At 47.3% G+C, this 27750-nt stretch overlaps 2 long non-coding RNA genes across 2 annotated transcripts, besides 10 other annotated features; one reads left to right on the top strand and one right to left on the bottom strand.

Annotated features, from left to right (window-relative positions):
- Positions 1 to 509: 509 nt before the first annotated feature.
- LOC107985364 (uncharacterized) lies at positions 510 to 26720 on the bottom strand. The gene is made up of 3 exons (XR_001738532.2): positions 26655 to 26720; positions 4535 to 4694; positions 510 to 3559 (listed from the first exon to the last, which is right to left on the bottom strand). It is a non-coding gene; the product is annotated as an uncharacterized LOC107985364 (long non-coding RNA).
- Positions 1319 to 1895: an enhancer, noted in NCBI's record as "H3K27ac-H3K4me1 hESC enhancer chr1:234912515-234913091 (GRCh37/hg19 assembly coordinates)". NCBI's record gives its function as "activates a minimal SCP1, AML or CMV promoter by ChIP-STARR-seq in naive H9 embryonic stem cells {active_cell/tissue: H9 hESC(naive)}" and the evidence as "EXISTENCE:reporter gene assay evidence [ECO:0000049][PMID:30033119]".
- Positions 5722 to 5771: an enhancer, noted in NCBI's record as "active region_2769". NCBI's record gives its function as "activates an Ori minimal core promoter by ATAC-STARR-seq in GM12878 lymphoblastoid cells {active_cell/tissue: GM12878}" and the evidence as "EXISTENCE:reporter gene assay evidence [ECO:0000049][PMID:35858748]".
- Positions 5792 to 5961: an enhancer, noted in NCBI's record as "active region_2768". NCBI's record gives its function as "activates an Ori minimal core promoter by ATAC-STARR-seq in GM12878 lymphoblastoid cells {active_cell/tissue: GM12878}" and the evidence as "EXISTENCE:reporter gene assay evidence [ECO:0000049][PMID:35858748]".
- Positions 5982 to 6031: an enhancer, noted in NCBI's record as "active region_2767". NCBI's record gives its function as "activates an Ori minimal core promoter by ATAC-STARR-seq in GM12878 lymphoblastoid cells {active_cell/tissue: GM12878}" and the evidence as "EXISTENCE:reporter gene assay evidence [ECO:0000049][PMID:35858748]".
- Positions 5982 to 7257: a biological region, named in NCBI's record as "CDK7 strongly-dependent group 2 enhancer GRCh37_chr1:234907153-234908352".
- Positions 6007 to 6301: an enhancer, noted in NCBI's record as "tiled region #10170; HepG2 Activating DNase matched - State 5:Enh, and K562 Activating DNase unmatched - State 5:Enh". NCBI's record gives its function as "activates a minimal TATA promoter and a strong SV40 promoter by Sharpr-MPRA in HepG2 and K562 cells {active_cell/tissue: HepG2 | K562}" and the evidence as "EXISTENCE:reporter gene assay evidence [ECO:0000049][PMID:27701403]".
- Positions 6052 to 6271: an enhancer, noted in NCBI's record as "active region_2766". NCBI's record gives its function as "activates an Ori minimal core promoter by ATAC-STARR-seq in GM12878 lymphoblastoid cells {active_cell/tissue: GM12878}" and the evidence as "EXISTENCE:reporter gene assay evidence [ECO:0000049][PMID:35858748]".
- Positions 6058 to 7257: an enhancer, noted in NCBI's record as "CDK7 strongly-dependent group 2 enhancer chr1:234907153-234908352 (GRCh37/hg19 assembly coordinates)". NCBI's record gives its function as "activates an origin of replication core promoter dependent on BRD2, BRD4, P300/CBP, MED14 and CDK7 cofactors, with strong dependence on CDK7, by STARR-seq in HCT116 cells {active_cell/tissue: HCT116}" and the evidence as "EXISTENCE:reporter gene assay evidence [ECO:0000049][PMID:35650434]".
- Positions 16928 to 17505: an enhancer, noted in NCBI's record as "H3K27ac-H3K4me1 hESC enhancer chr1:234896905-234897482 (GRCh37/hg19 assembly coordinates)". NCBI's record gives its function as "activates a minimal SCP1, AML or CMV promoter by ChIP-STARR-seq in naive H9 embryonic stem cells {active_cell/tissue: H9 hESC(naive)}" and the evidence as "EXISTENCE:reporter gene assay evidence [ECO:0000049][PMID:30033119]".
- Positions 17506 to 18085: an enhancer, noted in NCBI's record as "H3K27ac-H3K4me1 hESC enhancer chr1:234896325-234896904 (GRCh37/hg19 assembly coordinates)". NCBI's record gives its function as "activates a minimal SCP1, AML or CMV promoter by ChIP-STARR-seq in naive H9 embryonic stem cells {active_cell/tissue: H9 hESC(naive)}" and the evidence as "EXISTENCE:reporter gene assay evidence [ECO:0000049][PMID:30033119]".
- LINC02961 (long intergenic non-protein coding RNA 2961) lies at positions 18607 to 21044 on the top strand. The gene has a single exon (NR_148962.1). It is a non-coding gene; the product is annotated as a long intergenic non-protein coding RNA 2961 (long non-coding RNA).
- Positions 26721 to 27750: the final 1030 nt, after the last annotated feature.

Genomic DNA, 27750 nt, shown 5'->3' with positions numbered 1-27750 from the left:
CTTCCCTTCCTTCCCCTGCCAGGATTTTCCCCCAGATTATCTTGGGGTTGTCTCAGCCCTTACCATACCTCATCCTTCCCAGCAGCAGCCCGCCAGCCCCACGCGGAGTGTTCTACTCTTTCCAAAGACAGCCCACATTTCGGGGTCTCCTGCACCCCCAAATGTGGGATTGGTAAGATGCACGCTTCCTGACTTGGGTTTCTTCTTTCATTTGCAGTTAAAAACCATGACCACAAAAGAGACATCCACAACTCGCTGTAATAGGCGCTTGCATAATAGACGTGGGGACAGTGTTTGGGGGAACAGGATAGGGTGGCTCTGTTTTTCCAACAGTTGTGAGATTCATTTTGGTGAAGTAAGAAGGTTTTACAGGGTCCTCTAAGACAGAAGGGGTTTCCTGGGAAGGAAGCTGGCTTATCAACCTGCCTCCTCTCGCTCACCTGGTGCTAGCTGCTTACTTTCCACCCTTTGCCCTCTGCTGAAGGGAGAGTTTGAACATCTTTAGATTCTTTTCTTTGCTTGGCAAGATGTGCTGTATTTATTCAACTTAGCCTCAAGGTTAAGCACACAGACCCTTGTCAGAAGCCAGACAGCGAGTGTTCAAATCCCAGCTGTGTCACTTACCAGCTCTGTCACACCTTGGGGATGTGACTTCACTTGCCTTGATTTCCTCATCAGTGAAATGGGGATAATAATAGTACTTGCCCCATAAACAGGGATAATAGTACTTACCTTATATAATAAGGATTACATGTAAACATTTAATATACATAAAGCTCTTGTTTGTTTGTTTTTAGAGACAGGGTCTCAGTCTGTCATCCAGGCTGGAGTGCAGTGGCAAGATGCTAGCTCACTGCAGCCTTGACCTCCTGGGCTCAAGGAATCTTCCTATTTCAGCTTCCTGAGTAGCTAGGAGTACAGGTGCATGCCACCATACCTGGCTATTTTTAAAACATGCTTTTATATAGATGGGGTCTTGCTCTGTTTCCCAGGCTAGTTTTGAACTTCTGGCCTCAAGCACTCCTCCCACCTCAGCCTCCAAAGTATGGGGATTATAGGCATGAGCCACTGTGCCCAGCCAAACAGCTCTTAAAATATACAAAAGCTCTTAAAATAGTGCCTAGCACAGTGTTTACTATTGTCACTATCTACTTGGATTCTCTGCCTGTTGGTCTCCACTTTGCACAATTATTTGTGGACATTTGAGATCGTCGAGTTCTCGAGAACCAGTCAGGCTGATTTACCTCCAATGTACGTGTAATATGTTTTTTTCCTTTTCTGGAACTGAGCAACATCCTCCAAGTTTGTCCACTCTCCGAGTGTCTTAACTGCCCCCGGTAGAGAGGCATTTAGCAAACAGAAACAGATTACAGAGACCCTCGTGGCCACATGCAATTTGCAGTTGCTCTCAAGAGTGGGTGTGGTCACTTGTTGTTCCCTTTAGCCATCATATCAGCTGCCTGGGTGAGGGGTCAGTGTGCCAAACGTTCCTGGTGGGAAATGACTTGGTTTCCCATATGAGCCCCGACCTTCACTGGCCTCTCCCTCTTAGAACTCCCATTAACCACCATGTGTGCTGGTCACTGCAGCTGAATCCATCCACAGGGGCTGCCCAGAAAAAGACAATGACTTCTGCAGGGCTGGGGAGGCTGTCCTCGTGAAAATAACTGAATCTACCCGAGTGTGTGGCCTGTGCTGGGGAAACGTGGGTGACTTGAATGATGTCAGGCAATCAGTGCAATTGAAATATGTCAAAAATGGCTCCATCAACGCACCCGGCTCATATTTAGCTATAAAATGTGAGGCCAGGTTACGAACCGGAAGCATTTCTTTCAACCAAAGTCATTTGGAAAGGAATATCTTTGACACATCCTTGCTGCCCCTTCCCCCATTGCGGTGTCCCTGGCTGTGTGGCTGGCAGCCTGGCTCTTGGTGAGTCGCAGCTGCACCTGTGCCCACCTTCTCACCACGGGAGTAGGTGCTTCTCCTTTGGGCACCTTCTGGCTTTGCACCGTAAAAGTGAAATACGGTGTGGTCCTGCAAGCTGCTTCTCCAGTGATGTGAAAAGCGTAAGAGAGAGGCTCTGGGAAGGGGCAGATGCTGCAGGTGCAATGATGCCAGCTGTTGAGGACGGTGCCCTGTGCCTGGGGAAGTACATGCTGTAACTGGAGCTCCACCTTGGTACCCCACCGCTGGACCCTCCAAAGAGAGCTCTGACATGTATGAAGTTTCATATACTCAATTCCTTTACCGCTGGACTTGTGAGAATTGTATGAGGAAGGCCACTTTGAGGATCATATTCATGCTGGCAATAATGACATGAAAAGCAACAGTAATAGTAGCAACTATCGTCAAGGTCCCATAGGTACCAGTTTTCATGCTTAACAGCACAACCATCTCATCCCTGGAACCAAGCATCCCTGGAACCAAGCAAGATCAGTGCTGTTGATCTTCATTTTGCAATTGAGGTAACGGAGGCTCAGTTAACTTAAGTAACTTGTCAGGGGTACAAAGTAAGTATAAGTGGCTGAGCTGTGATTCAGATCCAGGCCCATCTGATGCGATAGCTCATTCTTTTCTCCATGACATCAGGAGGCCTCCTCCTCCCTTGTGTTGCTCAGAGTTCTGATAAGAATCAGATTTCTAGGTGAATCACAAGAAGGTGACTATTCTGGTTAGATAACGGGAGAATGGGCCCCATCATGGCAACAGACTCCTAAGACTCATACATCACAAGAAAGGGCTCCCTACAGCTTTGACACTAGGGTGCTTCTCTGTGCACCTCCTTGCTCCCCTCCCATGAGAAGGACTGTCTTTCATCCTCATAGCTATTATTTTTGAAACATCAGTTTTAATTTGGGGCACCCGCTCTCTTCGGGAGATTGCAAAAATTAAATCGTTTTTAAGCAACCCAACAACACTTCTGGGGTTTGTAATAAACTTGTGAAATTTGCGGAACTTGGTGGTTGAGGTTCTCTCCGTCCTACTTCCCTGGGGCCCCGAGGAGCTTTCGAGTTGGTTCTTCATGCCCTCTTGTTTGGAGCTGCTTTTGTCAACTGGGCCCAGCTACTGCGTCTTGGACCAAGGAGGCGATGAGCCCTGAAACAGTCCAGGGTCTCTAGGAGAGCAACTCCCAAACCATGTTTCTGGCCCTGCCTTCCCTCTGTTATTCTGGGGAAAAAACTGACCCTACGTGGGTGGGAGGTCCCATCTACAGAGACCAGCCTTGTTTGTTTCCATAGGATTTGACTACTGAGGGGCACGAAAATACATAGCCAACTTCCCCTTGCAGAGTTCACTGTCTCCCCTTCCAGCAGATGACTCCAGGATCCTTGGAAGCATAGGAACACACCCCAGTTGATGACACTGTTTCCTCTCCTCTGCAGAAGAAGATCCTCTCCACTCACAGGAAACAGCAGCAAGATGGTTTCCAGGCACCAGCTGTCACTGGGCTTGTACTGTTACAGTCCAAGCTGAGCACGCAAGGCAGGGTGTGTTTCTGGCTCCCCATAGCTGAAAGCTCAACTTCATGTGGTCAGGTCTTGGATGGCGTCAAGGCCTGTAGGGTGAACAGAACTCTCTGAGTCACCTTTCCCTGCTGTTCAGGGCCTTGATATAACAGACAGGGCCATTGGCTCCACAGGGGCATGGTGGGGAAGAAGGGTCCAGGAAGGCACTTTGCCTTTGTGTCTTGTCCTTGGTATTTGGAGGGCAACACCCCTGTATTTTTCTAATCCTATTAGCTAAGAATCTGGAACCTGGGCCAGAGGCCTGGGTTCTAACACTATCTCCACCGTTTCCCAACCATGGATACACCCTATACTTTCCCTCGTCTGTACAGTGGAGCTAATAATAGTACCTAACTCATGGAACTATCATGAGTCTTAAATGAGTGTTAACACGCATGAAGTGAAGTGCTTATATCTGGCAGATAGTAAATGTGTATTATCAATTTAATTTACACTATTATTTGACTGTATTTCTACTATACAGAGCAACTATTGCCTGGTCATATGTCCTAACAAATAAACTGTGGAGACAGACAAGTAACTGTCTCAGTGCTAAGGACACCACTGACCCTCAACAGAATAATGCCCCCTAAAGATGTGTAGACCCTAATCCCCGGAATCTGGGAATGTGTTAGGTTACACGGCAAAGGCAAAGGAAGGTTGCAGGAGGAGCTGAGGCTGCAAATCAGCTGACCTTACAGTGGGAAGAGAAGCCTGAGTTCTCCAGGTGAGACCAATGTCCAGCATCCTGGCTGAGCCTGCTCCCTTTACAAACAAGGTTAGGATTTATAACTGCTTTCATGGTAACATCTGGCTCATTTCTCTCAAGTTCCCCCAACTCTTTTTTTTTTTTTAGTATACAAATCTTTATTCTAAAGTCATTTCATTTCGGCTCAATTCCTTCTCTCTCTCTTTCTACCTGTTTGTTTGGCCTTTGGAGATTGAGAATGAGAAGTAACAGGACTCATTACCCACAGCTAGTCACAAGAGGAGACAGAGGGAGAGTGAATGCAAAAGAAAGGTACCAGAGAGGCCACCTTGCTGGCTGTCAAGGTGGAGTAAAGAGGCCACAAGCCAAGGGGTGTAGGCGGCCTGGTCTCTTCTGCAGCTGCTTTTTAAAACTCTAGGACTTTCTTCCACCAACAAATTCTTTAGGTTTTATCAGAGTTAGGAGGCAGTTAGCATCTGCAACAATAGAAAGAATATGTATTATTTGGAATGCTTGTGTGGCTTATACAGCTCCCAACCAGTTCGGGAGTCTTAACACATTGTGCTAAAAGATGCTGAAGGCTGGGTTTCCACTTCCCAAACAATTTCATTCTCTAAGAAAACTGCCGATAAAGATAAAAAACATTACAGCCAAATGGAGTCTTGCCTGAATCCCAGGCCCTGCCACATCGACCGCTGGTTCTATCAGTGGCCAGTGTTCTGGAAACGCTTCCCCGACATCAAGGAAGCCGGATCCTCCCCACACAGTGATGGGTTCTAGGCCATTTTTGCTGCCTCGGTCTGGGAGCTCACCATCCTCAGAAGCTCCCAGCACCTGGAGATGTCTCGCATCCTGGCTGAGCCTGCTCCCTTTAGCAAACAAGGTCAGGATTTGTAACTGCTTTTGTGGCAACATCTGGCTTATTTCCCTCAAGTCCCCCTGCCACTTTTTTTTTTTTTTTTTGAGACAAGAGTCTTGCTCTGTCGCCCAGGCTGAAGTGCGGTGGCGCGATCTCCGCTCACTGCAAGCTCCGCCTCCCGGGCTCACGCCATTCTCCTGCCTCAGCCTCCCGAGTAGCTGGGACTACAGGCGCCCGCCACCACGCCCGGCTAATTTTTTTGTATTTTTAGTAGAGACGGGGTTTCACCGTGTTTGCCAGGATGGTCTTGATCTCCTGACCTCGTGATCCGCCCGCCTCGGCCTCCCAAAGTGCTGGGATTACAGGCGTGAGCCACAGCGCCCGGCTTCCCCCGCCCCCGCCACTCTTTATATATATATATATATCTTTCATCTATAGTCATTTCATTTCAGTTCAATTCATTCTCTCACTCTCTCTCTTTTTTTTTCTACTTGTTTGTTTGGCCTTTGGAGATGGGGAACAAGGAGTAAGAGGACTCATTACCCACAGCTAGTGACTTGGGTTAGAAGTGAAAGCACTTCTGCTGGGCCCTGACTTATTTATTTATTTTTGGCCACAGAGCCACAAGGCTCGGTCCCCAGTGAGCCGCCCGAGGACATCTTGTGGCACCATCTGTTCGCCCCCACCCACCCTCACCAACTGCCAGGCTCCGATTGTTGTTGGTGGTGGTGGTGTGTTTTTTTTTTTGTTTTTTTTTTTTAAGTTTTTGTTGATTTTATAAATTCTGTAGCTCTGTGTTTTTTAGACTCGGCTTGCTCGTGTCAACGCAAAACCAGGACAAGCAGAATAAACAAAGAGATGCTGGCAGAAGGCTGGGTGTGTCGCCTCAGGTCTACAGATGTGCTGGGGCCACACTGAGGAAGGCCCTCGTGTGCATGCAGGGCGCTGGCCGGAGCGCCTTAGGACGCATCTGAAAACTTCTCATTGCCTCAGGGTTTAAAATAGCCACACTTCCTGCTCCTCGGAGAGGGTATGCACAGAATGTGGGTGACTCACCGTCGGTGGTTTTCGATGTGTCTGTCATAAGGAGGTATCATCAAAAGCCCGGCCTGTTTCAGATGTTATTTTTTTCCACCCTCAGCCATGCGGTGCTGGGAGAGCAGAATGCCTAAACCCAGTGTTTGTTTTGAGCGCAGAAAGTGAAGACCAAATCAATTGTGCCGCAGCAAGTAAAAACTGAATGCGTGAGGGGGAAAAAACCTGCAAACAGTGTGAAGACTGAGTTTCAAGGTTCTTGTTTTCAAAAAGTTTAATTATATTTCAACTAAAGCCAAACTGTCAAAACATGGGAGAGTGATCTGCCTGCTTTGAAAATGCATTAGCCTTCTTATGTAAAAGCCAATAATTGATATCCAAGAGGAAACCAGAGCTGTGGGGGTCGGAGGAAGAAGGAAGACAGCCTCTTAGAACTGCTCAAACGACACTTCCCTATCAACTACGTGCAAAGCTTTAGATCCAGGTTTGTGAAGTGGGAAATTGGAGAGGGGAACAAAGGCAAAGCTAAAACCCTCTGTGAATGGCGAAGGTTTACAATATCAGGCCTGGTTTACGAGACATGTGGGGCCAGGGCACTGTGAATTAGAATTTACATAAGCGAGAACCTGGAAGAGATCCTCAAAATTCTCAACAACAGCTTTGTAAATAACAGCAGGCTGTGCCTTCTTCCCCCTGAGAAATGCTGGGGTGTGTCTGGGCTGCCCCCAGGGCCGGGCTAATGCCTGGGCCCTCTCTTTGCTTCCAGCCCAGCTGGTTTTCAGGTTATCTGGTTGTTGTTTTTTTTTTTTTCCAGACTCCACTCAGCCACTTCCTCCAAAAATGGACCGTCGGTGGTTAAGTCTTTGCCCTCTTCATCTCAGTTCCCATTCCTGCCTCTCCTTCAGTAATCTCCTAGAACTTTCTAGTTTCTAGCACAGAGATTCTTAATCGTGTTCTTTTGATGGCTGAGAAGTATGTGTATTCTTAAACCACTCTCAGATTAAATTAAGCTTGCACTACATAAAAAATATTGATGGAAGCCATATAACACATATTTGGGATAGAGCTAGAGCAGGCATCGAACAGATCATACCAGTTGGAATACGGTATCAAAGAGCTGGGAATTCCCGGCCTACAGCCTGGGTCCGGGAAGGCAGCCGCCATTTTCTTCCTTCTTGGGTCAAGCCACTAGCTTCTGGGAGGACCAGCCTCCTCCAGCGTCTCTGTCATTTCCCCTTGATTGCTGATCTTTGAAAACAAGCCCAGGTACCTATCATATGAATGCTGCTAGGCTTTAGAACCCTTTCTTCATCTACCCTGGTGACATGAGACAGCTATCTTTCTCCCAGTGTGGCTGATCCCCACAAATATACATTTCTTGTAGCCCAGTGTCGGGTAGAATGGACTTTCTGGTCTATGGTCTAGGACTCTCTGTTGACCTTGGAAAAGAGTTGCCAGATAAAATACCGGATGCCTAGTGAAATGAGAATTTCGGATAAACAACACATCCCTTTTTTAGTGCAAATATACCTTCAATGTTATAATAAAAAGCATGTCCCATGCAATATTTAGAGCATACTTACACTAAACAATTATATGTTGTTTATCTGAAGTTCACATCTCACTGTGCATGCTGCATTTTTCTTTGCTAAATCTGACAGCCCTTCTGGAGCCTCTTGCGTTCCGAATGAATGTGGGTTCCACGAGCCATGAACGAGAGTGAGTTCTAAAGGGAACGGGAGCCAGATTGAGGCTGTGTTCTCCTTGTAAGGTTCTCGTTGGTGCAACCCATCGTGCCAGTCGTTCTCATTCCTGCTCCATGTCTGGGGTGCTCCGTTCACACCTCTGTCAGCGTGCTGGTGATCACTGCCACAGCTCTAGACCTAAGAGAGCCATGACAATAGTTCTCAGCTTTTTGGGCTGACGCTATATTTGCTCATCTGGGGGCCTGGCACACAGCAGGTGCTCAATATATACATAAGCAGAGCTGGTGGCATAGGAAGCAGAAAGCTGGCACCAGGCTTCCTCAGGCCATGTCCAGACAGCAGAGCCAGCCTTTTGACGACCTCCAAACGTCTGGGAAGCCAGCGGAAGCCACCGCACAGCTCACACACATAATGATAGCTTTCTCCTTTCTTATCCCAGACGGTTTGGATGCTTAAAAAAATTGCTTGGGGGAATCAGCAGAGGGTGAGGGAAGCTCGGAAACCAGCCGCGAAGGAAAACAGGAAAGAAGCGGCTCTAATTAAAAGCAGCCAGCTCCCAGCTCCCTCTGCAGGGCTAGGGGTCCTGCTGAGAAGGGGAGGCTGTCCTCCTCGCCTGCTGGCGCAGGGGGCAGGCGGCCTGCACAGACCCTGCAGACGAGCCCGGGGGCTCTACAAAGAGGAGGGTCAGGGTTTGGTCAAGCTCTCTCCACAAGACGCCCTTGCCCTCACACCTCTCCTAAGTTCCTTCCTTCCCCACCCAGGCTCGGTGCTCGGGTCCACAGCGTGCATCATCTGAGGGGATCTGCAGAGCCACCTTCCGTTTCTTTCATCACAGAGAGAAGAGCCTCCTTTCAAGTTCTCTAACACTTGCTCTCAGCACACAGCATTTATTGTTGAGCGCTGTCGTTGGCCACTGCATTTCCAAGATATTTATGCAACAATATATACATTAGGACACAGCCGCTCTGTGAGATAAGTCAGTAGTGCCCCGTTAATTTTATAAATCCAAGAGAAGGCCCAGAGACGGTGAACAATTGGGCCATGGTCACACAGCAAGCTGCGCATTTGTATAATACATGCGTGGTAGGCGCAATTGAGGCACTGGAGAGACAAAGATGAAAAAGACACTGTTCCCGGTAAAATGGTAAGGAATGCAGACACATCTTGAACCAACAGGAATACAGTGGGAAAAGAAAAGAGATGCTGTATGAGATAATTAATCGCATGCAGAGGAAGAAGGGAGTAGTTTTGCTAGAGAGCGGGGGTGTCAGGGAGCATGGCTAGGACATAGTGGCGAGGTTCCAGGTCAAGCAGCCTGTCAGTGCTGAGGTTAGGCCTCCGAGTAATGGCAAAGAGACATCAGACAGATGGTGCTGGTCAGAAGGGCCAGCTGGCCTGGGGGGCATGTGGTAGGGAGAGAGGAGCAAAGGTTACTGCCCAGAACACCTGAGTCCAGTGTTGCCTCTGGCATTCACAACATTTGGACAAGTGATCTTAAACTCTCTGGGCCCACACCTGAGTTTCTCAGCTGAAACTGACTGGGACTGGATTTGATCCTGTAAGAACACTGTTAGCGCTAACATTCCAGGATTCATCATGAAGCCGTGAGCCCTCGACCATGGTCCATTGCATGGATTCAAACTTAGGCTACTTCAGGCCCAGCATCGTCCGTGGAGACGAGCATTCAATGACTTACTGATATTTACTTTGCACCTATTATGTACTTGGCACTGTGCTGAGCCTAGGGCCCCAGTAGTGCGGAAACAGACACTGGGTGCACTGGCAGGGACTGGAGAAAACCAGCTGCAGACAATATTCATCCCTGCACCAAGTCCTTCATGGTCTCTGCACACTTGCTCACCATCACTTCTGCTCCACGAGTGAGCACAAAGCGATTTCTGGGTAATTTCAGACACACAGCTTCAGCAGGTTCGCACTTTGATCTTAGCAAAGTTGCATTCTGCTGCTCTGGCACGCTCGGCTCCTCCTCAGGGCGTGGGAGTCAACGTTTAAGTAGATCAGAGTAAGCGGTACCCTGCTGAAGAGGTTTTTCCAAAGCCTGTGGTCAGTCACTGAGGGGCAACATAAGGAGGGGCAGGTTCCCCCCCCAACAGACTCACCCACCAGCCAGCCAGCTCACTGCCTATGGGTGGGCGAGGTCTCTCTCCCTTGAAAATGTCTGTAGCACCCAGAAGAGGCCCTGTTCAAGGTGAGTGCTCAGAAAACTCTGTGGTGATCAAGAAAGAGTAGTTGAAGTAAGCATTTCTATGCTGATATTTGATGCAAATGACTCAAAGGAGTATTTAGACCTTTGGGGAAAAGGTATTCTTTAGACCCTGGGACATGGGGCAGAACCAGAGGGAGGCAGAAGAGCCCAGTGGCAATGGCGTGCGGCTGGGACTTTCCCTGCTTTGTTTGGTGCATTAGAAGATAAGATCACAACTCAGTTCCTCATGATCAGAAGAGCTGGCCGGGGGATCAGGCATCCCAGTTAACCGGGGCAGAGTCCCATTCCCCACTGTTGTCCTTGCCTAATTATGAATTGTTCCCCTTTCATTCTTAGAAGTGTCCTTGTTTGAACAGTGTATTATGTGGTCACACTTGAAGAGATAAACCAGATGACTACTTTGAAATCTCAAATAACTAGGATAGAGGAGCCAAGCGTCAGAAAGAATGATGCCCACCCAGGTCCTGTGATGTGACCTAGAGCTGGCCACTTCAATGCAGCAGTCTCTTTCCCAGAAGCTCAAAGTGCTTCTCAGTTAGGACTATTTTCATCAGTTCTTACCCCTTCCCAATGTCAGGTTGGCACTAAAGTTCCGGCCCTTAGAACAAAGATTTTTGAAACCCCAAGTTGCCACGCACATTTTGGAAGTCCTTTTTTTCCTGCAAAGTATCTGTCCCTGCCTTTCCAGCAAGCCTTCATCCATTCTTTTCCATATCTCATGATCTGAGTGCTGTAGAGTATATTTTATGAGGAGAGAGCTGCACAGAGCTATCTCAGAATTACTGCCTCTGAAGGGAGGTCAGGGGGCCCTTGGGATATGGTAGAGAGGACCTGGACCCTGGAGCCATGGAAGCCTTGACTCCAATTCTGCCACATTGGCCTCATGACTGAAGGCCAGGATTTCTCATGAGTAAAATGCACATATGGTTGATGAGAGAGCTAAACCAGGAAATGAAGTAGGGTGACCAACTATGCCATTTGTTCAAGACTATCCTAGTTTTAGCTCTGAATGTCCCAGGAAATCCCTCTGACCAGGCACACTGGGATGGCTGGTGACCTTGAATGCTGCCTGATATTTACTAACTACTGAGTACATTTTAGTTCTCTCCCCTCTTCCTGTAAAAAAGAATTGCACTATTAATGGTGAAATTTAAGAGAGAGTGATAGATTAGTTAGTGGTAGAGCTATTTGTGGGTGCAAGGTTTTCCTAAAGCACTTAAAGTAGGGTGCACTCCCTACTCTACTGGCCTGGTAGGCTCTGACTCCACTGGTGAAGAGAACTGGCCACAGACTCTGGGAATCCCAAAGCACTGAATCCACCTATGTGTCTCCGGTGTGGATCTTAGCATTTCACCCTTTCCTTGTGTCCATAGAACTGAACTGGCCCTGGAGACTGAGATGTGCTCATGCATCTCACGACGGGAAGCGCGTTCTTCCTGGAGAGCAGGGAGTTCCATGCTGGGCATTACTCCATGCCCTAGGGATGCAGCAGCCATCAGAACCCTCTCCCTTCCATCTCGGAGCTTATACTCTAGGGGGAAAATAAACAACCAGCCAGTAAATAATCAGGTACTGTAAGGGCAGGAGTGCTAGGTAGCTGAAGAGCTGGAAACTGAATTAGGAGACTGCCAGTGATGAGAGTTGCTGTTCTAGTCTAGATAGGATCATCCGGGAGCCATCTCTGAGGGGGTAGCATTTCGAATAAGCCATGTGATGATTTGTGGGAAGCAATTTCTAGCAGAGAGAACACCCAGGGTCAGGGACCTCAAAGCAGGACCTAATCAATGTGTGTGTGGAAAAGGCAGGAGTGGGCATGCATAGAGGATGTGAGGCCAGGTGAGGGGCCACTCATACAGCCCATGGTGTCTTAGTCCATCTGTGCTGCTGTAATAAAATACCTGAGACTGAGTAATTTATAAATAATAGAAATTAGGCCAGGGGTGGTGGCTCAGGCCTGGAATCACAACACTTTGGGAGGCCGAAATGGGTGGATCACTTGAGGTCAGGAGATCGAGACCTGCCTGGCCCATACAGTGAAACCCTGTCTCTGTTAAAAATACAAAAATGAGCCAGGCCGTGGTGGCGCATGCCTGTAATCCCAGCTACTCGGGAGGCTGAGGAAGAGAATCACCTGAGCTGAAGAGGTCGAGGCTGCAGTGAGTTGAGATTGCGTCACTGCTCTCCAGCCTGGGCAACCGGAGTGAGACCCTATCTCAAAAAAAAAAAAAAAAAAAGAAAAAAAAAGAAAAAAAAGAAAGAAGAAGAAGAAGAAGAAAAGAAATTAATTGTCATAGTTCTGAAAGCTGGAAAGTCTAATATCAAGGTGCCAGCAGGGTTGGTGTTGGGTGAGGGCTGTTCTCTGCGTCCAAGATGCTGCCTCTTGCTGCTCCTCACAGGGCGAAAGGCAGAGAGCCAAAAGGGGTTCGCTAGTTCCCGCCAGCCATGAATAAGGCACTAATCTCATCCACGAAGACAGAGTGCTCAGGGCCTAATCATTTCCTAAAGGTCCCACCTCTTAATATCGTTGCATCGAAGATTCAGTTTCAACATGAATTTTGGAGGCAACACAAACATTCACATCACAGCACATGGTAACACCTTTGGGTCTTTTTTCTCTTTCTAATTATGATGAGAAGATTGGAAGTTTTAATCAAAGGAGTGAAGGGATCTGGTTGACATTTTAAATGGCTCATGCTAACAGCTGCATGAAGACTAGCTGGTAAAAGGGCAAAGAGCAACTATTTGGGGAGGTTACTGCAATAGTGAGGGTGAGAGGTCAAGGTGGGCTGGGTCCAGTGGCAGCAGCAGGGTGGTGAGAAGTGATTTGGTTCTGGATATATTTTGCACATAGGGCTGATAGGATTTGTTGATGGGTTGGAGATGCAGAGTGAGAGGGAGTTGCTGATGCTGCCAAGGGCCCTGGCCCCAGCTGTGTGGTGATTCCGCTTATGGAGGTAGGAGAAGCTGGGGAGGAATAGGCTTAGGACCATCAAGACTTTGGGCTTGGATATTTCCACTATGAGATGCTAATTAGACACCTGAGTCAAGCTGTGAAGTAGCAGTTGTACCTATTGTATAACAGGTGTGATGGTAAAAATATTCAACAGTTCCTCAGAAACAAAGCACAAGATTACCGTATGATCTGGCAATTCCACTTCTGGGTGTATATCCACTGAGAATTGAGGGCAGGGACTCAAAACAGATATTTGTACACTCATATCCATATCAGCATTAGTCACAACAGCCCAGCATTCATCAGTGGATGAATGGATAAACAAAAGGTGGTCTATCCATATGACGGAAGAGTATTCAGCCTTGAAAGGGAAGGAAATTTTGACACATTCTACAACAGAGATGAACCTTGAAGACATTATGCCGAGTGAAATAAGCCAGTTAAAAAGGACAAATATTGCATATGAAATACGTGGAGTAGGGCTGGGCGCAGTGGCTCACCCCTGTAATCCCAGCACTTTGGGAGGCCGAGGTGGGTGGATCACGAGGTCAGGAGATCGAGACCATCCTGGCTAACACGCTGAAACCCCGTCTTACTAAAAATACAAAAAAATTAGCCAGGTGTGGTGGCAGGTGCCTGTAGTCCCAGCTACTTGGGAGGCTGAGGCAGAAGAATGGCATGAACCTGGGAGGCGGAGCTTGCAGTGAGCCGAGATTGTGCCACTACACTCCAGCCTGGGCGACAGAGCAAGACTCTGTCTCAAAAAAAAAGAAAGAAATACTTAGAGGAGGAGTCAAACTCATAGAGACAGAAAGTAGAATGGTGGTTGCCAGGGGCTGGGGAGAGAGAAATGGGGAATTGGTGCTTAATGGGCATGGAGTTTCAGTTTGGGAAGATGAAAAAATCTGGAGACGGATGGTGGCGGTGGCACGACAATGTGAATGAACTTAGTGCCACTGAACTGCACAGTTAAAAATGGCTTAAATGGTCAATTTCATGCTGTGTGTATTCTATCACAATAAAAACAATTCAACAATCACTGTGGCAGGGGTACTGACTGGCCAGAGTGGGTACTGGCCATAAAGAACATGTCTAACTATAGCAGGAAGCTCCGTAAAATGCCAGCGCAAGGTAGCAAGTGCATAGTTCAAAGCAGAGGCCTGGGCCCCCATGCAAAGCTGAAGTTAAAGCTAGGGCACTGGTAAGATCACCCAGGGAGAGAGCATAGGTGGTGGGGGGCAAGAAGGTAAAGGAGATTCTCCAGCCTCTCCATGACCAAGGTGCCAGAACACGAAGCTCTAAAATGAAGCCTTGTGCTGGAGGCAAATCTGAGATGTGCGCAGCCTCCAACTGAGCACACCCATGCTGAGATGCGTCAATTTCTGCAGCGCTGGGCTTCTCCTGGAGCCTAAACACACAGACATTCTTCCTTCCACTGTGGCCATCAGCGTCCTCTTTGATGTGTCCGTCTTCTTTGCCTTCTGCATACACTTAGTTGCCTAATTGACCTTCTCTCCACTTGGTCCCTCCATCCGGTTCCCAAGGCTACAGCCCTGTGGAGGCTCTCTTTCTTCCTGCCTGAACTAAGCCACCGCCTCCTCTTGCATCCTGGACTAAGAGGACAGGCAGAAACCACATCCACAGGTGTCAGGTGCATCCTGGACAGTGTGACTGAGAGTCACCACCCTGGTAGGACAGTGACGGGTGTGGAGCGTAGTTCCAGAGACTGTGACCCCACAGGTAAAGCTGGGCTGAGGACACATCACAGCAGCCAGGTATCAGAGAAAAGGGCTATGCCACATCCAAGTGTGAATGGGATCAGGGGAGGAAGAAGAGTTGGGCACTGCCTCAAGGCTCGCGCATGAGTCTTTGTGTGTTTCTGTTAATCACTGTGTTGTTCCTTTCCCAGAGAATCCTGATTTGCGGCAGATAGCTGCTGATGCCTCTGAGCTGGTCTCTCTGCCTCCCATCTGTCCATCCCAGATTTCTTTTTCTAAAGCAGGGCTTGGAGAGGGGTAGTCCTTGCCTTAGGCCACGGGAGGGCAAATCTTCGAAGCTTCTTGCTGTACAGTTGACATTAAGATATCTTACCCTGACATTTTGCAACCCTCTGTGGTCTGCAGTTGCCGAGTATTTCAGATCTACATCCACTGCGTGCTTCTCACCTATGACTGTTCTCCCTGCTTGCTGAACAGTCCTGAGCTCTCTGGCCTCTGCACCTTTGTGTAGGATTTTCCTTGCAGCTGGAAGACTTTGTTTCCCTTACCCCTTGGACCACTAGTTGCCAAATCCTATGCAGAGGTGGACTTAGTATGAAGCTAATGAGTTTTAAGCTTCAGGGTCCTTCCATTTCAGGTTCATCTCTTGCATGGGCCTGGAGGTACCATAGCAGTCAGTTCCCAAGACCATGTGTTTTGTACAATTAGCAAAAATAACATAAATAGATTAAGACTTTTGGCTGGGCGCAGTGGCTTGTGCCTATAATCCCAGCACTTTGGGAGGGCAAGTGGGTGGATTGCTTGAGGCCAGGAGTTCAAGACCAGTCTGGCCAACATGGTAAAACCCCATCTCTACTAAAAATACAAAAATTGGCCAGGCATGGTAGTGCACACCTGTGATTCCAGCTACTCAGGAGGCTGAGGCAGGAGAATCACTTGAACCCGGGAGGTGGAGTTTGCAGTGAGCCGAGATCACGCCACTGCACTCCAGCCTGGGTGACAGAGCAAGACTCCATCTCAAAAAAAAAAAAAAAAAAAAAGACTTTTGTCTCTTTTCACCTCAACTTTGCCTCCACACACCTCATCAGTTTCTTGTCATATTGAAGTGGCTTTGGACATTTTTGGGATCTGGCTAAGTGAAAATTAAGTCGGGGAGATATTTATTTTGAATTTGGTGGAACATTGATGCAATTTGCAGTCTCTTCAGCCTGTATGAAGCTATCGCCAGCTGTTCTGATGTAGAAGTGGCTTGCAGGGACAACCTTCAGCCCCCTGTGCTGGCTCTTGTGGCATTTCCACAGGGAGGACAGGGCCTGAGGTCATATCCCAGCATAAACATGTCCTGTGGCCCGTGTCCCCAGAGCCAGGCTGATAGGAAAGTGGAAACAGGATTTACAATGTGTGGTGCCAGAGTCTAGTCTTCGGAGAGTTTTTCAGTTATCAGATGTATAAAATGGTAAGGAGAAGATGCTGTTTCCATTGACACCTAGTCAAAATGGAAATTCTTTGCTGGCAAGAATGTGCCCGATACAATAGCAAAGACTTGGAACCAACCCAAATGTCCATCAGTGATAGACTGGGTTAAGAAAATGTGGCACATAGACACCATGGAATACTATGCAGCCATAAAAAAGGATGAGTTCATGCCCTTTGTAGGGACATGGATGAAGCTGGAAACCATCATTCTCAGCAAACTATCACAAGGACAAAAAACCAAGCACCACATGTTCTCACTCATAGGTGGGAATCGAACAATGAGAACACCTGGACACAGGGTGGGGAACATCACACACCGGGGCCTGTTGTGGGGTCGGGGGAGGGATAGCATTAGGAGATATACCTAATGTAAATGACGAGTTAATGGGTGCAGCACACCAACATAGCACATGTACACATATGTAACAAACCTGCACGTTGTGCACATGTACCCTAGAACTTAAAGTATAATAAAAAAACAATAAAATAAATAAAAATAAAAATAATTGGCCGATTCTTCTATAATTGTTGGTGCTAAAATGACCAGACCAAATAAATTAGTTCACTTCAGTAACCTTAAAAAAAAAAAAAGGAATGTGCCCGATAATGCAGACGATACAATTACGAGTGCATGGAACAGACTTCGGGAGGCGAGGAGGCGATAGGGCGGCCCGAGGCTGATTGAGACACTGGTGGCTGTGGAACGCTTAGAGGGGTTGTTGCTGTGTGGTTGTGAGTGTGCATGCCTTTGTGTTGGAACACACCATCCTAACATTTTGTGTGTGTGTGTGTTCATGCTATACTACATACATATGTAGTATGCTATACTACATACATATAGAGTATGCTATACTACATACATATAGAGTATGCTATATTACACACATATAGTTATGATTATCTAGTTGCATAACATACTAAACTGTTATGAATCATAGTCCACAACAACGAAGAAGTCAAAGGAAGCCCAGTGGCTTGTTTGTCACAGAAAGTGTAGAATTTGGGATTTTCATTTCAATCCATTGACAAGCAGGGTTTCCATGCCCTGTGTGCACAGTTCAAGGAACAGTTTGCTCTTACCTGGGTATCAGGAAGGGGCTCCTAGCCAGGGCAATCAGAGAGTCACTCTTGCTGACTGCCCCAGCTGACAGCCCTTCTCCTGCCCCAGTAATGTCTGGCGAACCATGAGACAGGGGAACAGGAATGGGTTTGCTCAGAACTCTTGAAAGAGGCCATGGGACTTGGGCACACCCAAAGGAGCAAGAAGCAAGCAGCACCCAAAATACGCATTGACCCAAAGGCCGATCTTCTGACACATCCACACACGTCTCATCACACATGCAGGGAAACCGTGTCATGTCCGAACTCCAGAACTCCAAACCTCTCATAGTAGTCAGGAGAACACTGGGATGAGTTTAGCTTTTGAGAACTATAAATGTGCCCAAGTGTTGGTTTGGCTAGCAGACTGGAAAATTCTTAGGGTTAAAATTCAAATAAGAATAATATAGCATTGCTAGTCATGACTACAGTATTTACTTAAATTATGCTCTCAGATCTCTATGAAGACAATCCAAAACATAATTAATACTTTTTTTTTTCGCTACAGAGGATAAGTTTTGATTGTACACACACACACACACACACACACATACACACACGATAATATCTATACATATATTTGCCATGCAGAAGTAATGGAAAAGTGAAGGGTATTCCCGAGTTGGCAGCAAATGCCCAGAGTGGGTGAAACTGATGCCCGTGCTCTAGGCCCGGGGAGCCTCTGAGCAACCTGCACTGTGGTGCCCTGGCCTGAGCGTGTGCTCAAAGGCCTGCTCCGCCTCTCCATGACCTAGTAAAGCATGGTGGCCTCCTCCCTTCCTGCCCAAAGCATTAGAATGTCAAGCTCCAGTCCTTGAATGCCATTCTCTCCCTTCCCCCTCAATCCTCCCAGCTCCCCCTCCCCCACTTCCTGTTTGTTTTAAAGAATGGGCACCCAGCATTCCCCCTGCTTCTCATTGGGAAGGAAGGCAGAGGCACGGGAGAGATCTGGGTGGTTGTGGAACAGGAATGGAACTTCAACAGAGTAATGAGGCAGGAAGGGAAAGGGCATGTTGGGGGGTGCAAGAGCTGGGACTTGATAATCTCTGTGAGTCCTGGAAAGAAGAGCGTTTGCTTTGAGGGGTGATTGCCTTTCATGGACTTCTTGGGGGTGGCGGCCTTTTGATCTGCGATGCTGCTCCGTCCAGCCCTGGGCACAGAGTTAGCCATTTCTCCAGTGCATGCAGCTTCTGCACTGGATCAGCGCAGAACCTCGGGAAGGAGGGTGAGGGCTCTAATACTGGAATGCCCTGGAAAACCACCAGGAATCTTGGTATCCTGTAACCGTCTTTCTCCAGGGCCTGGGATCCCTCATCGGCGTCTGGACACCCTTCATCTTTTAGCCGTTGCCCTGTTCTTGGTGAACTGCTTGTTAGGACCAAAAGTGGCCCACCCCTTTCTCTGGGACAGTGCAGAGCACCGGGGCCAGAGGCTCAAAGCACCTCCAAGCTGAGATCAGAGACTTTGGATATCGTTGATCCAGAGGCTTCCAAACTTTTCCTGGTGATTGAATTCTTACCATGAAATCCAGTGAGGAGCTCCAATGCCTCAAGCAGATGGAAGAGGAACTGCTCTTCTTGAAGGCAGGGCAGGGCTCTCAGAGGGCAAGACTCACCCCACCCCTGCCACGGGCTCTCCAGGGTAACTTTGGAGCCCCAGCACTCTGTGGAATATGGTTCGCAGAACACTTGCATCCTGCTGTTGGGATGCCCCCAAACTATAATAGCAGCATGCTCAGTCTTTCACCAGAAAGAACCATCTTATCTGGAGGATGGTCAGGAAAACAAACTCAACAGCCAGTGCCTCCCCTCAGAACTCTGCTCCTGAGGTCTCCTTTCAGTCTGCATAAGTCCTCCCAACCTGGGAGCCCCAAAGCTTCTCAGCGGATCCATCCCCTCTTCCATTCTATCCCAAGGTCTCAGCTGCATTCTGTTCTGCTTGGTCTTCCTCTCCTCTTCATACAGACTAGACCTTCACCCCCTGCCCAGTATGGCGCGCAAATGCCATTGAGATACATTTGTTTTGGTCCCAATATCTTTTGGGGCTCCAAAAAGCCCCAGAAAGAGTAATGCCTTCAGCCATGGCCCATGTGATGACTTTTCCCAGAGACAGCCCCATGGGTCAGTGATCGCCGGTGGGAGGTCTCCCCAGCCTCCCTTCAAGCCTTCAAGTCTGTGTAGAGGCGCCTTCTCTTCTCTGGGCATTCCCCGCTTTGTTGCAGAGAAATTATTTTCTACTCAGCGGCTTTCAGGTAGAGAGAGAAAGTGCATGCGGTATGAAGGATGTGAAGATGGAGGGCTTGACGTCGTGGGTCATGTTTTGTGGTTAATTCCCCCACATAACAAAACAGTGAGCAAATGTTTATAAACAGGAACTCAGTGTTTCAGTGATGAAAGCCTCTGGCCTCGCCACACTGATTGCTGGTGTGCGCGCACACACACACTCACACACCCTGTTTTTCTTACACACACACAGCTTCATGGAGCAGAGAGCTGGAAAGGGTGTCCAGAATGGTGGATCAGGCTTATTATTATTACTTTTTTTATCTCCACCAAACTCTCTCCTTAAGCCCCAGCAGCCCAACCCCCCCCCGCACCAGACAGCATATCGAAGGAGTAAGCTGCAGGTCAGCCTATATTTTAGGCAGAAAATTAGGCAACCTTGGGAGAGACCGGTTTCCAGCAGACACGCACGGACGCGATGGTGAGGTTGGGCTGAGACGGTCCTTCCTGGATGCAGTCACCCTCCCCATCCCGAGTTTTACTCCCTGGGGGGATTGTGGTGGGTGCCTGGCCTCCTCTCCCACCAGCGCACTGCCCCAAGCTTGCCTAGGTAGTATCAGCACTGGGGTGAGGGATGCAATGCGGGTTTATAGTTGGCTGTGGGGACTTCTGATTTCTCCACCCCATAGATGATAAACGACCGCGGGGCTTCCTCTCCCAGGTCTTTCCTCACTCTCCTTCGTCTTTCCCTCTTTCTCCATGGGAAAGGTAGAATGAGACTTGCCACCAGGGACATCCAGGCACATTCCTCTTCCCAATCAGCCTCTACCCATTCTCTTTCTGTCTCGTGTGTATCAGTGGCATTTTCTTGTGTAGCTTCCCAGATTTGCAAACCCGCTCCACATCCTGGACGCAGACCCCCTTCGCTGGCTCTATGAAGGCTTCACGTTCCTGGGGCATTCGAGACTTGACTTTCCAGAGCAACTTTGGATCCACCCTGTTACCCTTTTTTTTGTTTTGTTTTGTTTTGAGAGGGAGTCTCGCTGTGTTGTCCAGGCTGGAGTGCAGTGGTGTGATCTCGGCTTACTGCAACCTCCGCCTACTGGGTTCAAGTGATTCTCTTGCCTCAATCTCCCCAGTACCTGGGATTACAGGTAGACACCATCACGCCTGGCTAATTTTTGTATTTTTAGTAAAGACAGGGTTTCATCATGTTGGCCTGGCTGGTCTCAAACTCCTGACCTCAGGCGATCCGCCCGCCTCAGCCTCCCAAAGTTCTGGGATTACAAGTGTGAACCACCGTGCCCAACCTCCCCTCGTTTTTGACCTTTGTCCCCAAATGTCTTTCATCCAGTTACTAGGACTTGTAGCCTTTTTGCAAATAGGTATCTGTAAGCATAGAAGAATAGGGTGATTTGTGAAGTGACCCTTAGTGGCATCTGTGGCGGTCCTACTAATCAGATTTGCAGAAGAAACACGGAAACAAGGAAACTCCTCTCTTATATTAAAATAAATAAGGTTTTTAATTTCAAGTTTCAGAGATATTTCCTTTCTTTTCTGAAAATAAATATACAATTGTCTTGAGAGTCCTATAAGCCAAACGCAGGATGCCGATGTTCTCACCACTTCAGGCCCTTCACAGGGCGAGAAACCTTAATCTTGAACCAAGCAACTCCCCCAAAATGACGCTGATGTTTGTGAGTGGGTTGTGTGCATTTTCTGGGGGAAGCATCCCGCGTTCTCAGTTGCACGTCACACAGGGGTTCTGGACTCAACAAGGATGTAGAGCTGCTGCCTTGGATCCTCTTTGACACCTTCTTCCTTTTATACACCAAAGACAATCCATCCCCCAAGTCCCTTCTCTACAGTGCCCCTCAGATCCATTCCTCCTCCCTGCTCATCTGGGTGATGCCTGGATATAGTTTCCCATGACTTTACAACCAGCCTCCAACTCCTCACCACGGTCTTCAATGCCCGCTCTGACAGCTCTCGACGCTCACTCTCAGCTCCTCTCCCTAACTTGTCGTTGAAGTGGAAACCCAGACTCACCTGGATTTTCCTTCTGGCTCTGCTACTTGACAGCTGTGTGGCCCCTGATAAGTTGCTTAAGCTCTCTGATGCTTGGCTTTGTTATCTAAAAACTGGGATAACAACACCTCAATCGCAGGGCATTTGATGAAGATCAAATGAGCTAGCACAGGTAACAAACCTGGTACATTCCACACTCAGCTTTTAAATCAATGCTTCTCCCCTTCCCTTCCCCTCTCCTTGGTCTCACTCCCCACCCTTTCAATCCAGCACTGCACTTTGCAGAGTGGCCTCTCAGCAAATGCCTTTGCTTCATGATTTCTTACAGCTCAAAATCACCTGTGATATCTGCAGCTGGCTTTGCAGAGCTTGTAGATTTGGGTGAGTACCGGGAGGTAAACGCAGGAGGTTGAGGGGAGCAGAGGGGAGGGAAGTGGGTGAGGAGCAGGGTGGGGCTGCCATTCATTTAGCAGGAGGGCCCTGGGGATGGGCTTCTTGATTTTCTTTTCTTTTGAGCATCCGCTGTGATGACTCAACAGCCTCCATCTGAACCCCAGAAAGAAGCCTCAAGAAAAGTCTACAAAGCGGGTGGTTGTCCCGTCATATTAATCACCCGGGTCCCTGAGCAGCCTCTTGTCATGGGGTCACTTGGGGCCAGAATTGTCCCAGGCTGTGGCTGTGTCTAGACTGTGTTCAGGTAGATGACGGGAGAGGAGCCCTCTTGATTTCCTTGCTCACTCCAGGTACCCTTGCTCTTGTCCTACCTGGCATTTTTATTCCTGGTTTAGACCAGAAATGGATATTATGTTCACCAGTCGATTTGTGAGGATAACAGCACCATTATCCCCCACGGAGTAACTTCTTAAAACATGAGTCATTTTTTTTCTATTAATTGTCCGTCTGTTGACAACGTTTCTTGTGTCTGTAAAGTGCTTTGAGCTCCTAAGAAGAAAGGTGTTACTCAAACACGAGGTATTATTATTATTTTTGTCAATATCATTATTTCACAATGCGGGACCTCTTTAAAACTGCCATCAGTGTGGAAAGCAATTATTGGGTTTGCTGTGGTTCCATCTGGGGCTTATAGCAAGGTGCAACATCTAGAAAACCAAGTCGTGGAGGAAAATGATAACACTGTGTTTATGTGCCTCTTGCCATCTTGTCATTTTACAGCCTTCGGGGACATTATTCATGAATCTCCTGGGGTTATAGAGAGACAAGCACTCTTGTCCCCCATTTAAAAAACAGGGAGAAGTTGTGGAAGAAAGAGCCCGAAGCTGCAGGACTTATCTGAAACCCTTTTTGGGATGTGCTGGAAACACCCTTTCTACTCACATGCAGGATCACTGAAAGCCGATGTACTTTGCTGGCCAGCAGCTGTTGGAAGGGCAGGGGCGTTTGTGTCCCTTCTGAGCCTTTCTGTGAGGAGGGCTCTTCCCATGCCCTCCTCCAGACACTCTGACTACTTGTGGTGCCGCTGGATGCTCTGAGTGGGTGCCACGTGACCGGCTTGATTGCATCACATGGTAATGTGCCAAAACTGAGCAAGATAACAGCTGCCCAGCGAAGCCACCTCATAGCTTGTGAGAAAGTTCATGTCTTCCAAGGCTGGGTTTGCATTTTGGGGGCAGTCATGGGTCTTTGTCTGGAGACACTTCCGCTCACCCAGTGTTGCCAGAGTTTGTGAGTAGTGGGTCACCACATTCTTCCATTCACGCACAGCTGTGTGGTGAGGAAGTGGGGTGCACTGGAAAGGCAGTGGGCTCGGGAGTCATGCAGACCTCTGTTTAAATCCCAAACTCACCTCTTATTAGCTATGCGACTTTGGGCAAATAATTTCCCAGCCTGTTTTCTCATTGGTAGGATGGGAGCCAACAATATCAATAATATCTTCCTTGTAGGGTTGTTGTGAAAATTCTTGTGAATAGTTGTGTAGCTCTGACACAGTTTGGGAGGTGGCAGGAGCAGCTCCCACTGGTGGGTGAGGTGAGATTGTGTTTGGTGGCATTACACTGGTAGCTTGAAACTGGCCGTGGCAAGAGTATTTTCACCATGGAAATCAGCCAGTGCCACAAAGCGGGGATATTGTCTTCCCAAGAACTTACTTATCAGTATACCACTGCACAGTAGACACTCAATAAACGTAGCTATCATTACTAAACTTGGGTAAAACCTACCTTCATTCAAAATGTAGAAATAGAATACAACCCTTATGCAGAACATAAAAATCACTGCTTGTTTTACAAGAAAAGTAGTATCACATCTGCCCAAAATTGATCACACAGAAAGATGAATGTGTGGCCTCTTTTGATACATGTTGCTTGTCATTTAGATCTATTGCTTTTGCTTATTGAACTTGGGAGCATATTTTCTGTTGCTTCGAGTAACTCCAGTAATTGTCTGGCTTATAATAATGCACTGGCTAAAACCTAAACTGACAGGAAGAAAGAAAGGTGAAACACTTGTCAATCAACAAACATTCAACATGGTGCTCGATTCCACAATGAACACAAGAAATATACAAATGATTCTTGACTTCATGAAGCTCATCGTCTGCATGGGTAGGCAAGGGAAAAGGCACACATATTTTAAAATAATATAAAAAATTAATAGCTTTTGCAAACACATGATATGTTATAATATGTTTTTACATGTAAGAAATTCAGGCACAGGGAAGTGAAGTAAATTTTTTCAGGTTACACACAAATAGTAGTAAGTCGCAAAACTGGAATGTGAGCTCAGACCATAGATTTACTTTCCACTGATAATTAGAGAGCAAGAGATGACATTACATGCCGACATAAAAAAGAGCTAAATTTTATATATAGATTATTAGGGAAAGAATAAACTATAATAAAAAGTTAATTATGTGATCCTGGACAATGTCTTAGGGTGTTTGGGCTGCCATAACAAAGTACCATAGAGTGGGTGGATTATAAATAACTGATATTTATTTCTTACTGTTTTGGAGGCTGGGAAGTCTCAGATCAAGATGCCAGCAGATTAGTGTCTGGCAAGGGCCCACTCCCTGGCTCATAGACGGCAATCTCCTTACTGTTTCCTCACGTGGTGGAAGAGACAGATGAGCTATCTGGGGCCTCTTTTATAAGAGCACTAGTGCCATTCATAAGACCTCCTCCCTTATGATCTAATTGCCTCCCAAATCCCTACCACCTAATACCATCTGATTGCGGGTATTTCAATATATGAATTTTGGGGGAACACAAATATTCAGTCCATGGCAGACATCAACTGCAGAAAGATCAGAACAATTAAAAGGGGGCAGGAATCATCACATGCTAAAAACTGGTGGGAAAAGCTCCACAGGAAGATGGTATTTCTCCTGTATCTTGACAGATAGTTAATGGTGAACCCCCATGAAAGAAGGTACAAAAAGGCAGTGAAGAAGGCTTCTCTTTTCTATGTTTGGACAATCTGAAAACATCAGGGAAATGCCAGTCAAAACAATATTTTGATACTATACAGATTTAGTCTATTTCTCTAATTAAACAAATCTTTCTTGCTTCTCTCCTTCCTCACCTTCTTTCTTGGTCTAATGTAAAAAAAAAAAAAAAAAAAGATGTGTTTTTCTGAGTGTAGCCAACCCAAACACAACTTCAAATAATAAATACTGAAGCAATGATGAGGAAGCCATTGCTTGGCTGGGGGAAGCAATATTTCATTTCATACATCATTTGCTACTGCGCTAGGCAGCGATTTCAAAAAGTCAGTAAAGATTTGGAAAGCTAAGAAGGGAGGAAAAAAACTCAACAATATTACTGCTCCATCTCCATTATCTTGTAAGGCATATTGATGCACGATAAGAGGTAACCATGACTGTTCTGATTTACACAGTAAGGACAAGATGGCACTAAACTGTGTTTCTATAGCATTTTATGTGTCATAGGCTTTATTGAAAAGGTAGCGATTGCTCTCTGTGGCTCAAACCTGGGTTTTCCAGAGCTCGGTTTGGGGTTGAAAGCAAATATGATGCACATGCGCTGTGGACTGAGATGATTTGAGGTCTCCATGGCAGAAAAGTAACTGAAACTCGCCATCAGTCCCAGCAGCCACTATCTATCTTTAGGCTGTTGACCAAGACAGAAGGGAAATCAGGGATCGTGTCTGCAGCCGAAGAAAGAAGATGCAGGCGATAGAGGAGGTGGAGAAGGAGTAGCTGCCCCCTCTTTCCTACCTGATCATCAGAGGTAAAGAATTCCAGTGCATAATTTCATCCCCATTCCTCCCTCATAATACATAGATTTCCAGCCTCCACCATTTCTCCATCACTCCGTTCCCTACTTCCCACCTCCCCTCCATATCACAGGTTCACATGGGTGACTCAGAAGTCATATCCACATCGTCTGGGTCTCAGAATCCTCTCTGTGCTGACATCGGAATATCTACGGTGCAGTTTCCTGACATACTGTTTGCCCCAGCCTTGCTCCAGTCAGTCACGAAGACTGGGTTTGAAGGTTGCAGACCAGAGTATTAGCACACTGAAGAATTATTCCTGACACACAAAACCTTACCCTGATCACCTCTGAGAGGTTGTTGACCCCAGGAATGGCCAGAGTATTATGTGTTCTTAAAACGGAATATCAGTTAGTTGTCCCAAAGAGGAAAGAAAAACCCATACATGAGGAAGGGTGGCCCCAGGGTAGCGGAAGGTCCTGGGACCCTCCACTGTAGTGAGGGCGGCTGCTGGAGCCAGGCCACATCCAATTCTCCTGGGGCCCCTGTGCACAGTCTCTCAATTCTGAAGGGTGCTTCAAAGCAGGTTCCACTGGGTCTGGATTACTGGGGATCCCAATGGCTTCCTGCCCTACCCCACCTCCTGCTCCCTCCAGACAGCCCTCAACAGCTCTCAGCCTGCACTGGGCTCTTCCCTGGAGTCTAGTTTCAGGAAGACATGAATTTGAAATCTGCATGACCCCTTGGATTAGTTACTTAAAACCTCAACTTCTCATCTGTGAACTGGGGATAAGAGTACTACCTATCCAGTGGTTGTGCTGGTAAACATTGAACAATAGCTCTCGAATAATGAAACCAACCAATCAACGAAAAGAAACCTCTGATTTCATAGCACTTGCCAATTTCCGTGGTGTACGTACCTCCACCATGGCCAATTTCAAGCTGTTGCCATGATGTCACTGGATGTGGAGCTGGGAAGAGATAGACATAATCGGCTCTTGTGAGCTGGCTCTAAGACACCCCTCTTTCCACGCACTGAGGTTACTGGGGTAATGCACAGGCAGTACTTACAGCGCTAGTCCAGCGCCTGGCACACAGTAGGTGCCCTTATTATAGTTGTGCCTCACACCAGCCAGGGCTTTTAGCTTGGGAGTCTTCTTGCCTTTCAGAATGCAGCTAATGGATCCTCTCTTCTGGGAGGAGCAAATTGCAATGATTTTTAAATAATATAAGGCTGTCATTCCTGGCTCCAGATCCACTGCTCTCAGCATCTTCTTGGAAATAGCTCAGAGCCCAGTGCATATGCTTCAGGATGGCATTGGAGAGGAAATCACTCCCTGCCACCACAATGCTTGAATTTTATGGTCCTTAGAGCCACACTAAGCTGCCTTGGCCAGTATCACAGTACTTTCGCTAATACTCTGCAATATACAAAACATTGTTTGACTTTTAGCAAGCTCCTAATGTGTTTGTTCCTTTCCTAAGCAACAGCTATGCTGCTGGCCGTGTCTGACAAAGAAACAAAGTCACATTGTTCAAAGCAAACAACTCCAGTATCAGTTGGAACAAATAGACAATCACACTCCCAGACCTCAATCTCCAAGCCCAGCTGGACTAAGCAGAGTGAAAAGGCTCAAGGCCACAAGGCAGCAAAACACACCTTTATCTGCTTTCAAAAGGCCTCTGTCAAGCACAGTTTTTATGTGGATTTCCCCCCACCCCCGACTGTTACTAGTATCCTTTTAGAACCTGAAAATAGCCTGTCTTTCCTTACTGATGGGTTCTGTTCCAGGTGACTTTGATTGATTTATTTTTTTTCTCACCACCCCCTGTGTTTAGAGGAGGACAAAAAGGTTTGCTTTTGCTTCTCTGTTCATTTTTTAAAGGTCCTCCTAGTAAGACTATAGTTTCATCCTTTTAAACCCAGTTTCCCTATCTGTGGGACCAGGCGATCATTTGGATTCTTCTCCTGTTAGATCTACTACAATTCTGGAAGCAGTTGCCCCTTTTCTGGTC

Source organism: Homo sapiens, chromosome 1, assembly GCF_000001405.40.
Source record: "Homo sapiens chromosome 1, GRCh38.p14 Primary Assembly".
Lineage (NCBI taxonomy): Eukaryota > Metazoa > Chordata > Mammalia > Primates > Hominidae > Homo > Homo sapiens.
Note: the sequence above shows the minus strand (reverse complement) of the source record. Positions and strands in the feature narration are given on the sequence as shown.